At 42.8% G+C, this 13,790-nt stretch overlaps 1 protein-coding gene across 3 annotated transcripts in view; it reads right to left on the bottom strand.

Moving 5' to 3' along the window:
- Positions 1–5,864, bottom strand: part of CAP2 (cyclase associated actin cytoskeleton regulatory protein 2) — a 164,186-nt gene extending 158,322 nt beyond the window's left edge. For all 3 annotated transcript variants that reach the window (NM_006366.3, NM_001363533.2, NM_001363534.2), the window contains exon 1: positions 5,713–5,864. The gene's annotated coding sequence lies outside the window, so the exon portion shown is untranslated. The remainder of the gene's footprint in view (positions 1–5,712) is intronic.
- Between the last annotated feature and the right edge of the window lie 7,926 nt (positions 5,865–13,790).

The following is a 13,790-nucleotide window of genomic DNA, read 5'->3' as shown; positions in this document are numbered from 1 at the left end:
GTGAAAGAAGCCATTATTTTCCTAAAGTGGGAAAAGTGTCTACTAAAGACAGAAACAAAACAAGATGGAATTCCCCTGGATATAAAAGCTCATGTAGGCCGGGCGTGGTGGCTCATCCCTATAATCCCAGCACTTTGGGAGACCTAGGCAGGTGCATTACCTGAGGTCAGGAGTTCAAGACCAGCCTGGCCAACATGACAAAACCCTGTCTCTACTAAAAGTATAAAAATTAGCTGGGTGGGGTGGCAAGCGCCTGTAATCCCAGCACTGGGAAGGCTGAGGCACGAGAATCACTTGAACCTGGGAGGCGGAGGTTGCAGCGAGCCGAGATGGTGCCACTGCACTCCAGCCTGGGTGACAAAGCGAGACTGTCTCAAAAACAAACAAACAAAGCTCATGTAGCAAAAGGACAAATATTGTATAAGGTACTTAGAATAGGCACATTCAGGGACAGAAAGTAGAATGGTGGTTGCCATGGATTGTGGAAGAGGAGAATCCAGAGTTATATTTAGTGGGTACAAAGTTTCAGTTTCAGATGATGAAAAAGTTCTGGAGATGGACAATAATAATGGTTGCACAACAGTGAGAATGAGCTTAATGCCACTGAATAGTATGCTTAAAAATGTTTAAAATCGGACCGGGCACGGTGGCTCACGCATGTAATTCCAGCACTTTGGGAGGCTGAGGTGGGCAGATCATGAGGTCAGGAGATTGAGACCATCCTGGCTAACACGGTGAAATCCCGTCTCTACTAAAAATACAAAAAATTAGCCGGGCGTGGTGGTGGGCACCTGTAGTCCCAGCTACTTGGGAGGCTGAGGCAGGAGAATGGCCTGAACCCAGGAGGCAGAGCTTGCAGTGAGAGGAGATCGTGCCACTGCACTCCAGCCTGGGCGACAGAGCAAGACTCTGTCTCAAAAAAAAAAAAAAGTTTAAAATCGTAAATTTTATATATATCTTAAAATAGTAAAAGTAATTTTAAAATTCCTCATAATGGTTTGTTCTGACTTTAAGGTGCTTTCCTCCTTCTAAGTTCAAGGAGAAATATCCTGAATGAATGGCAAAACTCACTGCCTAACTCAACGACAGATCTAGATCTGCCCAAGGCTCATTGTTATCAGACTTACCTAACTAAATCACATCGGAAATACTAGACCACTCCGCAGGATATACAATACGAGGCAACTTTTAATGAGGTTTAGTAACTATTCATGTACTTTGATTAAAGTAATGTTCCTTTGATGTAATAATAAAGTTGTCCTCCCTCTCATCCTAAACCCAGGTGATATAAGGAGATGAAGATGTCCGTGAGTGACCGGGTTAAAAGGCTCTGCTGTGAAATTGAGTTGTGAAATTTTAGATTTTCCACACTTCTTAAAACGTTGGGAAATACTTTTACAACTAGAATGTAAATAGGATGAGAAGTCAGAATGTCAGATCTAATCATTTTATCTTGGTTTGGGGAAATGAGTAAGTGGTTACATGCCATCAATGTGTAAGTCAAAGGAGAATCAGGTTTTCTTTTTTTTTTTTTCCCATTAAAATACATGGCACATTCACAGTGAAGAACTCTTGCACATGTGTGCCAAGACACATGGAAAAAAAGTCTTCAAAGCAGCATTCTTTGTAATAGCAAAACATGGGAACCAACCCAAATGCCTGTCAACAAGAATGGTGAAATAAATCATGGAATATTTGCCAAGAAATATTACATACCTACATGCAACAACGTGGGTAATTCTTTTTTTTTTTTTTTTTTTTTTTGATATGGAGTCTCGCTCTGTCGCCCAGGCTGGAGTGCAGTGGCGCGATCTCGGCTCACTGCAAGCCCCGCCTCCCGGGTTCACGCCATTCTCCTGCCTCGGCCTCCCGAGTAGCTGGCACTATAGGTGCCCGCCACCACGCCCGGCTAATTTTTTGTATTTTTTAGTAGAGATGGGGTTTCACCACGTTAGCCAGGATGGTCTCGATCTCCTGACCTCGTGATGCGCCCGCCTCGGCCTCCCAAAATGTTGGGATTACAGGCGTGAGCCACCACGCCCAGCCCAATGTGGGTAATTCTTAATGACCTAATGTTGAATTTTAAGAATGCAAGATTAGGCTGGGTGCGGTGGCTCAGGCCTGTAATCCCAGTACTTTGGGAGGCCGAGAACGGCAGATTACCTGAGGTCAGGAGTTTGAGACCAGCCTGGGCAACATGGTGAAACCCCTTCTCTACTAAAAATGCAAAAATTAGCCAGGCATGGTGGCCCGCGTCTGTAATCCCAGCTACTCAGGAGGCTGAGGCGGGAGCATCTCTTGAACCTGAGAGGCGGAGGTTGTAGTGAGCTGAGACTGTGCCACTCCATTCCAGCCTGGGCGACAGAGAGAGACTCCATCTCAAAAGAGAATGCGAGATTATAAATACCTTTTTTCATAAACCAAAAAAACAAACCTAAACACTATTGTTTTGGAATACATACACATGTGATAAAACTGTTTTACAATAAACCAGGGAATGATTAACACAAAATTCAGGGTTGGGAGGGACATGAGAGCAGGCACAGAGGAAAAACACAAAGATGCAACTGGATACTAACAATCTAGTACTTTTTCCCCTAGTTTTCTGTTTATTTTCTTTAACAATTTTATTGAGATGTAATTCACATACCACACAATTCACCCATTAAAGGTGTACAACTCAATGGTTTTTAGTATATTCACAGATACGTGCGACTATCACTATAGTCGATTAGAGGATATTTTCATGTTTCACCTCAAAAAGAAACCCTGTGACCTTTATCTATCACTTCCCTACTCAACCCACCTCCAGCCCCTTCAGCCCTAAGCAACAAAAAATCTACTTTCTAGCTGTATACATTTCCTTGGTCTGGACATTTTCAAATGAATAGATCATACAGTACGTGATATTTTGACTGGCTTCTTTCACTTAGCATAATGTTTTCAAGATTCATCGATGTTGTAGCATGTATCAGTACTCCACTCTTTTTTATGGCCAAATAATATCTCGCTGTATGGATATACCACCTTTTATTTATCCACTCATCAACTGATAGTCATTTGGTTTGTTTCCACCTCTTGGTTATTATAAATGGTGTTGCTGTCAACATCTGTGTACAGGTTTTTTTGTGAGCATATGTTTTAATTTCTCTTGGACATATATTTACAATGGAATTGCTAGGTCATATGGTAACTTTATGTTTAATTTGAAGAACTGCCAAACTTTTCCAAAGTGAGGGCACCATCTTATATTCCCATCGGTGGTGTACAAAGGTTCCAATTCCTCCACATCCTCACCAGTATTTGTTATTATCTGACTTTTTGATTATAGCCATGCTAGTGAGTATAAAGTGGTATCCCATCGTGGTTTTGATTTGCATTTCTCTGATGAATAATGATGTTGAGTATCTTTTCATGGGTTTATTGGCCATTTGTATATCTTCTTTGGAGATAGCTATTCAGATCCTTTGCCCATTTTTAAATTGGATTATTTTTCTTTTTATTATTGAGTTGTAAGAACTCTTTATATGTTGTGGATACAAGACCCTTATCAGATACATGATTCCTAAATATTTCCTCCCATTCTATGAGCTATCTTTTCACAACTATCTAGTTCTTAAGCCCTAGTTTATAAACCTAGTGATGGGTTCACAGGTGTTCAGTTGAACATAATGTTCATAACTCACCTAGACTTAGCGTATTATTTTTACATATAAAATGTTACATAATAAATTAAAAACAAAACAAAACCTCATGAATAAAGATGTTAGGAAATATTCAAAACAAAACAAAACTCCATAATGCTCAAAATAAGTTAATGCTTTTCTGGAGGGTATTTAACTTAACTGCCAAGGTATAACAGGCACTCAAGAGAATGTGGCCCATTAATCCTTTCAATAGGCTCCTCTCCAGATTCTAGCACAGAATCAATCAGTGGGAGTAGCAAACTACTACTAGAAGGACAAATCCATTCCCTTCTCTCTTACTTTTGTGTTTTCTGCTCCTCCCTCAAGCTAAGAATAGTTTTTACATTTTTTAATGCCTGGAAAAAAACAGAAGAATATTTTGTTACTGGTGAAAAGTTCAAGGTTCAATGTCTGTAAATAAAGTAAAACACAAACATACCATTCCTTTAGGTATTGTCTTTAGCTGCTTTCAAACTATAACTGTGGAACTGAGTAGTTGCTAAGGAGACCATATGGCCTGCAAAACCTACATGTTTACTATCTAGCTCTTAACTCAAAGGTTTACCAAACCCTACCCTGTATCAACAAATTAAATTACTTCTCACATTAACGATGGGGAACAAAAACTTACTTCCTACTAGCAAAGACCACCTTGATAATCACCTTCCTGATTTCTCATAGTCAACTTCTTTTTCTCTTTATCCTTAAGAAGTATTTATATGACACTTTGATTGTAATGTTATTAAGAATTTTTTAAATTTCGGGATTCATGGAGAAGTCGCCTTTCCTTGCAAAATATGCAGTATATTCAAGAAGTCATGCTCCATCTACACTTAAGGTACTGAATTAACTATTTCACACACTTTTATTGTCTATCCATTACATGCTGTGAGCCAAATACTGTTTGGTGCCGTAGGAACTACCAAACAACCCATCCTTGCTTTCAAGAGGCTTGCAGTCTAATTAGACTCTAGTAACTATAAATCCAATTCTCTAAAGTTCACTCTACCGTTGTAATTTTACACTAAGTGGGCTTAGATAGTTTACCAAGAATTCTAAGGAACATAGCTTCAATGAAATCTACAGAAGCAGTAAGGAAATAGGAGTACTCAGTAAACTACAGTGCTCAAGTCCCAGAAGCTTCTGCATTTCCATAACTATAAAACCAAAGGTCCTAGATGTTTTTACCAAGTGTTCATCTCCACTCTGGCTGTTTGGACCTAGTCCCGGTTCAACTTCCTAAATGCAGTCACCCATACATACTCATTTTTAAGAATGCATCCATTCAAATATTGCTACAACTTGCAGCGAACACCACTCTGATGAGAATAAAGAAAAGGCCATCTGCAGGTTGATTTTTGGCCCTAAAAGTGATGATACGGCGGCTACTTCCACGAACACCCCTCTACCCAAAGCAGTCAGAGAGCCAGCGGCGGGTGCCGTTTTTCCGAGCCGTTCCCCCAGTCTCAGTTGCCTCTGCATTTTTTAGAAGTGACTCATCGCCTCAAGTCAGGTTCTGCAGAGGGGAAGCCAGGTCTGTTTCTTTCCAGCACTTTCTGATCGAGGTGGCTCTGGTCAGAGCCGGCGCAATGACTCCCACCCCCACCCCCCTGGAAGACTCACAGCCCGGTGGACGAGACCCCCCAAAGTTAGAGCGGCCGGGCGGGCGGCGGCGCTGGGGTGGGGAGGCCGCGGCCGCCCGCCAACCCCGGGCAGCTCCTGCCCGCACCCCGCCTTCCGAGCGGCCAGGACGCCGGAGCTGGGGAGGCGGGGGCAGGGCGCGCCGCTCCGCTGACCCAGATGGGAGTCCGCCCGCGCCCGCGCCCCGCGCCCGGGTCGCCGCGCCCCGGCCCCCGCGCCCGCGCCGCCTTTATTCCCCTCGCGCTGCTGCCACAGCCGCAGCGTCCCGGCCGCTTCCCTACCCCACCCATCGGGCTCAACTTGCCAGCGCCCGCCGCCAGGCGCCCCCCGCACCTGCACCCCGACCCCTCCCCGCCTCGCCGGGCCCCGACCGCTGCAGGATTACCTGCTTCGCTGCCCTGGGGTCCCGTCCTCGGCAATGCAAATCCGTGGTCGGCCACTCGTACCCTCCTCCCGCGGCCCTCCCCTTCTCCTCCCCTCTCCCTCCTCCCAGCTGAATAGGAGCCGGTGTCAGTCACGCTGCTCCAGGGGAGAGTCGCCGGCAGCTTCCGGAGCTCCAAATACAGACGAGCTGAGGGGGGAGAGGGAGAGCAAAGCCACGCGGGTGGGGAGTGGAAATAAAGGGGAGCAGAGAGGAGAAGGGGGTGGAGGAAAGGAGGGGCAGATGGGCCGTGGGAGAAAAGACAGGGAGATGGGGAAGGCAGAGCCAGGGAACGCCAGCCTGCCTGCCAAGCGCCAGGCTATGCGAGAAATGGATTCAGTGCATGAGGCAGTATTGCAAAGAAGTCTGGAAAGATCCGGAGGCTCCTGGCTGAAGGAGGCACAGATAGGTTGGATACCCGAAGATCTGTGCAGAGAAATGGGTAATGGATCCTTAGGAATCAAGAGACGGCATGTGTGTCCCCAGACCCAATATGAGGATAAAGGCTCTGGGAGGAGAAGGAGCTAGACAGCTAATGCTTTAGCGAGACATCAAGACTGAGTGCACTCATAGTGCGTGTGATGACATTTTTAAAAAGTATTTTATAAACAGCAACTTTTTAAATGTCCTGATTATTTAAAAATTAAAGTAACCAAACCCACTTGGCTTCTTAAGATGTGCAGCATATTTGTGGCCACTTCCCCTTTATATATTGATTATAATTGCAAAATTGGAGGCTTTTCTCTTAACGTCATTAGAAGGAAAGCATTGATTTTCAATTTTCATCAAAGTTTATTTCAGTCTAAAAAAGTGACTTGAAGCTCTTTATTGAATGAATGCCAGGAAAATAATTGCAGAAAAGAGAAAAAAAGAGGGGAAATGTAACTGATATCTTCTGAAAGTAAAATCTCCAAACAATAAATATGAGATGAATTTCTTAAAGGCCAATATTCTCTGTCGATGTTAAAATTGCACATAAGTTGGTTCTGTACATTATAAGGCTTATTCTGACCCCATAGGTCAGCACTTATACAAAGGTCATTCCAATTACACATTGCTCTCTGCTGACAGTAATGAGGTGCAGTGAGTCTTTGCTTCCCTTTGTCTGGAAAGAAGGGAAACAAAATGACATAAACATTGATCAATGAGTGCGTACATTGCATAAAGCCAGAGCCAGCACCCTCCCTATCCTGTGGATACCTTGCATATGGCGGGCATTCAATATGTTTGTATTAAATAATGAATGAATGGATGGATGGATGAAGTATGTATGCATTTAGAACATTTGTGTTCCAGAAATGCAGAAAAAATATATATCCATAAGAATCAATGTGTGCAGGATCACAGGGAAGTTCCAAGCATCCATTCATATGACTTTTTTTTAGCACTAACTTCAACAAACATTAGCACAGTATTTCCTTAGCTACATCTGTTTTTTATTGGAGTATAAAGTATTATGGAGTCTAAGAGTGGATGAGCCACAAATCCTGTCTTTAGGTTGATAATATAGTAGGAAGATGTGAAGAGTATAAAAATAACCACAGTTCTAGGAATGTCGTAAAAAACATTCTAAAAGAAGTATGAACAAATTTCCATGGATGTTCAGAAGAAAGGAAGGTTGCTTCTAGACTGGGGATTAGAGAACACTTTCTGATGGACATGAAAGTTGAGTCTTCATGCGGAAATGAGACATTAAGAGTGGATTGTGGAGGAAAAACCCTCAAGATGATGGGCAGGGACAAAAGTGGAGAGGTAATAAAGGATGGCATGTATGAAGGACAGTCTGTGAGTTTAGCTGGATTGGAGGGCTGTGGAAGCCAGGTATGGAAGGAAGGTTAGGCCCTGGCTGGTAGAGGCCTTCAATCTCAGCCTAAAATGTTTGAAGCCTAAGTAGTAGGCACTGGGGGACTATTGACCATTTTTGAGCATAATCATGATAGCAATGGTTAGTTTGGTGGTGGTATATAGGACTGGAAAGAGATAGGAGGCAGGGAAATCCACTAAGAAATAACTAGCTAGTCTGGAGGGGAAAGTAACGAGCCTCAACTTGAAGCCTGAACTCTTCCCTTAACTAGCCCTGTCATAGCATCTGTCTGCTATATGATGTCTCCCCAAAAGGGCTAGCCCCCAGTGAACACTTCTTCCTCACAACTCTTTGATACTTATTGTCCATATTTTCCAATTGGACCTATACATTCCAGGAAAATGGGGATTAGGTCTGTTTGGTTAATTGCTATTTTCTCAGGCCAGACACATGAAGATCACTGACTACGTATTTGTTGATAACATTTTCTTGTACAGGATTAGGTCAGAAAATAGTGGAATTGGAAAGAAGAGGACAGTAGCTGGGCTTTTCTAAATCTTTTCAGTTCCCCTTGAGATTCCAGCCCAAACCTGCCTTTCTCCTTAGCCCATGATCTCATGATGTGCCAGACAAGGAGGCTGATAACTGTGTTAACTTCTACTCCTTCAACTTTTCTCCCCTCTACCTCAAAATTTCTCCCGTCATCTCCTTTGTCCTGCATATTTCTTTTGAGTTGATGTCTCCTTCCTTGTCATTGCTAAAAGTATTCTGGTCTCTTCTTCCACCTTGTGCCCTTGTCCTTGCATTCTGAGCCACCTCCTCTGTACTGAGTTTGTCCCCATGGATTACACTCCAATTGCAACAGCGAAGGCTGAACTCAAGGGCTGATAACACAGTAGACTCAGGGGAAAAATCCTTTTTTCCCTATTTAACCTATGGTTAGAATGATTCTACTGCTCTTTTACCTTTGTTTATATGAAATAAAACTTTTTATGAACTCTTTTATGTAAGGGGCTTTGCTAGAATCTCAACAGAGGAGGTGACCCAGGACCTCAACATTCTATAAAGCTTATACAGTACAGTAGTCCCCCCGTATCCACGAAGGATACGTTCAAAGACCCCCAATGGATTCCTGAAACCACAGATTCGTATTGAGGCTTCTATACAGTATTTTTTTTCCTATACATATGTACCTATTATGTTTAATTTATAAATTAAGTACAGTAAGAGATCAGTGATAACAATTAATAATAAAATAGAACAATTATAACAATATACTGTTGTAAAAGTTATGTAAATGTAGTCCTTCTCCCTCTCTTAAAATATCTCATTGTAGTATACTTGCCCTTCTTCTTCTTGTGGTGATGTGAGATGATAAAATGCCTGTGGGATTTAATGAGCTGAGGTGAATGACGTAGGCATTGTGATGGCGTGTCAGGCTACTATTCATCTTCTGATGATTATGTCAGAAGACAAGTCACCTGCTTTGAGTGATTTTATCAGTTTGTTCTTGCATTGCTATAAACAAATGCCCAAGACTGGGTAATTTATAAAGAAATGATGTTTAATTGTCTCATGGTTCTACAGGCTGTACAGGAAGCATAGCGGCTTCTGCTTCCAGTGAGGCCTCAGGGAGCTTTCAATCATGGTGGAAGGCAAAGGGAGAGTGAGGCATCTTAAGTGGCAGGAGCAAGGGGAGGAGGGAGGGGCCACACACTTTTAAACAACCAGATCTCACGAAAACTCACTATCGCAGGACAGCACCAAGGGAGGATGGTGCCAAACCATGTGAAACTGCCCTCATGCTCCAATTACCTCCCACCAAACCCCACCTCCAGCACTGGGGATAACAATTCAACATGAGATTTGGGTAGGGACACAGATCCAAACCATATCAGTGACACTGGATCATGGAGTCATTACCATGGCTATGGTTGGACGCAGGAGCCGATGATGTCAACACGCAGATAGCTTGGACTGCAGGGGTATCCAATCTTTTGGTTTCCCTGGGCCACAGTGGAAGAAGGAGAATTGTCTTGGGCCACACATAAAATACTAATGATAGCTGATGAGCTAAAAAAAAATTATATATATATATATAAGTGTCATAATACTTTAAGAAAGTTTACGAATTTGTGTTGGGCCACATTCAAAGGCATCCTAGGCTATGTGTGGCTCACAGGCCCCAAGCTGGACAAGCTTGTTAGACAGCATAAATATACTGGGCAAAGGGATGATTCACAAATGGACAGGATGGAACAGGATGGCTTGAGATTTCATCACCCTACTCAGAATGGAGCACAGTTTGAAATTTAAAATTGTGTATTTATGGAATGTTCCATATAATATCTTCAGGCTACAGATGACCATGGATAACTGAACCAAACTAAACAAAACCACAGGCTGCTGTATCAGATGGCATCCCGGCTTCTATGGTCTCTTCTCCAGATCTTCTCCTGAGGGCCTGTTTGACCTGAGACACAAACAGCCTCATTCATCAGAATCATCTGGGTAGATCATGTTTGGTAGGTTTAGCCTTTTGGAAATATCTTCTTTTTTAAAAGACCATTTATGATGGCCGTACCTTAACTCAGATTCCAGGTATTGAAGTCGGGGTGGGTTAGAAGAAGGTATTTGAGAAGAGGAAGGAGGTGCCTGACACCACTCAAACCACTGTGTGTGTCTCTAATAATCTACCTTGTGGATAAAATTGTCCCCACATAAAATTTATGTAACTAAAAATAGATAAGACCACTGATCTTAACTAACATAATCATCTTTTTTAAATGTCACTGACTTTTTTTTTTTTTTTTTTTTTGAGACAGAGTCTCGCTCTGTCGCCCAGGCTGGAGTGCAGTGGCGGGATCTCGGCTCACTGCAAGCTCCGCCTCCCGGGTTCACACCATTCTCCTGCCTCAGCCTCCCAAGTAGCTGGGACTACAGGCGCCCGCCACTACGCCCGGCTAATTTTTTGTATTTTTAGTAGAGACGGGGTTTCACCGTTTTAGCCGGGATGGTCTCGATCTCCTGACCTCGTGATCCGCCCGCCTCGGCCTCCCAAAGTGCTGGGATTACAGGCGTGAGCCACCGCGCCCGGCAATGTCACTGACTTTTAGAACTGTACCTGAATGCTTCAGTCCACTTGCATCTCTTCCTTCCTTAAATACCTTTGAAATTTACAGTTTATTCATTAAATTAGAAAGAAAGTACTATCCTAAACTTCTTCTGTTTTCTGTTTTTTAAGTGTCCCCTATCAACCCATAAGTGCCTAAAAGCAAGGCCATAGATATCTCAAATGTCTTTTATGTTATTTCACAATCCTAAGGAAAGGGCTGCTACCAGCCCATGTGGTGTCTCTTCCTCTTGTCACCTGTTAGCAAATATCCTCCATTCATCCGTAAGCCACCCGCACAGCTATACATAGTGTTCCTGAACAAGGACAGTTCATGATATGCAATCAGTGGTGAGTCTATAGTTTTATTAGTTTGCTTAATGAAACAAATCCAGATGTAAAGTCGGGACTTATAGAGAAATAGGCAAGTTTATCTTTTTGTTTTGTTTTGTTTTGAGACAGTCTCACTCTGTCGCCCAGGCTGGAGTGCAGTGGCACGATCTCAGCTCACTGCAAGCTCTGCCTCCTGGGTTTATGCCATTCTCCTGCCTCAGCCTCCCGAGTAGCTGGAACTACAGGCACCCGCCACCATGCCCTGCTAATTTTTTGTATTTTTAGTAGAGACAGGGTTTCACCGTGTTCGCCAGGACGGTCTCGATCTCCTGACTTCATGATCTGCCCGCCTTGGCCTCCCAAAGTGCTGGGATTACAGACGTGAACTACCGTGCCCAGCCGGCAAGTTTATCTTAAACAATGTAGGAAATAAAACGATTGCCAAAAGCATTTAACATGTTTTTATAAAAATTCCAATTATTGAGAAGAAATATGGTAATGGTTTTGATAGCAAAATTAATAAGAGAAAGGCCAGACATCAAAATTTAGAGACAGTCTGAGGAAGAGAAATTATTCGAGAGAATGTAAGAGACCTGTAGGCCAATTTGAATCCAGAAAAAGCTACCAATATGATATTTAACACTTGTACTCTGAGTATAAAGAAGGCTTCAGAGGGTGAAATTGCCTAAGGCCAATGGTTAGGTTTTATTAGTAAGAAAGCAAGTTTATTTATTTTCCATTTTAATATAGAATCTTAAAAGTAATGAAAATATAGAACAGATAAAAATATCACATCATCCTAACAGCATGTATTTGTGTATTCTTTCATTTCTCTTCATATCTCTTCTATGTGGTATATTTTGTAGTTGTAAGTTAAAAGAGAAGCCATAATCTATAGTTGAAATCAAGAATTAGATTTCAGGCCGGGCGTGGTGGCTCATGCCTGTAATCCCAGCACTTTGGGAGGCCGAGGCGGGTGGATCACCTGAGGCCAGGAGTTCGAGACCAGCCTGGCCAACATGGCTAAACCCTGTCTCTACTAAAAATACAAAAATTAGCTAGGCGTGGTGGCAGGTGCCTGTAATCACAGCTACTTGGGAGGCTGAGGCAGGAGAATTCCATGATCCCAGGAGGCAGAGGTTGCAGTGAGCAGATATCATGCCATTGCACTCTGGCCTGGGCCTGGGCTACAGAGCAAGACTCCGTTAAAAAAAAAAAAAAAAGCATTAGATTTCAGTTTTAAAGATAAAATTGTGAGTATTGAGTAGAATCCTGCCCCTCTCATTTAATCATGGCAGAAGTAAGTTTTTACACTATTGCTAGAAATGGGGCATCAGGCAAGGGCAAAGAAAGAAAACTGAGAGGTGTGGAGAAGTCTACCCAGAACTTAGCCGAAATTAACAACCCCCTCTGAAGTGAAACAAATGCCCAAATATCACACACCTGGCACATAGACGGCTCTCAATAAATATCACTTGAAGTAAATATTGTGACACATAACACTTAGGACAAAATAGGGAAAATATGCATTGCCTAGAAGAAACTTTGATTGTCCAAAAGCAATCTTAAACAATAAATGAAAGCCAGTGGTGTATTATGAATTTAATATTGTATATACTGTGCATATTATATACCTAGCAGCATTAAATACAGAATATTTATAATGTTTAATATATACAAAATAAAGAGTGGATTAACCTGTAAATTCCATGGAATCTCTAAGACAGCCAGTGGAAAATTCCAAAACAGTAACTCTCCCTCCAGTCAGGGAGATTCCTAGTCAGGGTACATACAAACGTTTTACAAAGACCAACTCTAGATATCCAAGTTTCTGCCTGTTTTAGTTCCATCATCATTGTTTTGTTAATGACCAAAACAAGAGGGATTAACTTTGAATAATTGTCCTGGCCAGACCTCACGCTTGGAAAACAATATTCTATTGAGTGTTATGGGTTCCTCAGTTTTTGGCAACAATGCAATCTGGATGAAATATTTTTTGCAATGATCCTTAAAAATAACAATAAGGCTGGCTGGGCGCGGTGGCTCACACCTGTAATCCCAGCACTTTGGGAGGCCGAGGCAGGCAGATCACGAGGTCAGGCGGTCGAGACCATCCTGGCCAACATGGTGAAACCCTGTCTCTACTAAAAATACAAAAAATTAGCCGGGCATGGTGGCGGGCACCTGTAGTCCCAGCTACTCGGGAGGCTGAGGCAGGAGAATGGCGTGAACCCAGGAGGCGGAGGTTGCAGTGAGCCGAGATCGTGCCACTGCACTCCAGCCTGGGTGACAGAGTGAGACTCCGTCTCAAAAAAACAAAAAAACAACAAAAGAAAAATAAGGCTGATTTTTTAAAACCTGAGGCTTCTTTCTGATACCTCAAGTGTTTTGTTGATCTGATCCAGTTGTTTCTCATTGAACGTACAAGATAACATCACGAGTTATTTAGATGCTGAGTCTACAGGAAAGGAAGCTCTAGGAGCCCCCTTACCAATTCTGGACAGAACAACGAACATTCTCCTCCTTCTCTCCCCCACACTTCCCATCCAGGATTATCTCTATCATCATGTGACTAAAGGAGAAAATAGCTCCCCAGCTGTCAGTGGCTTTCTCAGCTGCCGACATGAGAACTTGATCACACCGGGGAAATTCCTGAACTAAGGAAATGTATCAGCATGCACACTTTGATTACACCATGTCGGCTTTGGGGTAGTCATCTCATCAGTGCTCGCACAAGAATATCTGAGTCTACAATAAAGACTCAGCTTATGGAATCTCAAAAGGTTGAACTGG

This window comes from Homo sapiens, chromosome 6, assembly GCF_000001405.40.
Source record: "Homo sapiens chromosome 6, GRCh38.p14 Primary Assembly".
NCBI lineage: Eukaryota > Metazoa > Chordata > Mammalia > Primates > Hominidae > Homo > Homo sapiens.
Note: the sequence above shows the minus strand (reverse complement) of the source record. Positions and strands in the feature narration are given on the sequence as shown.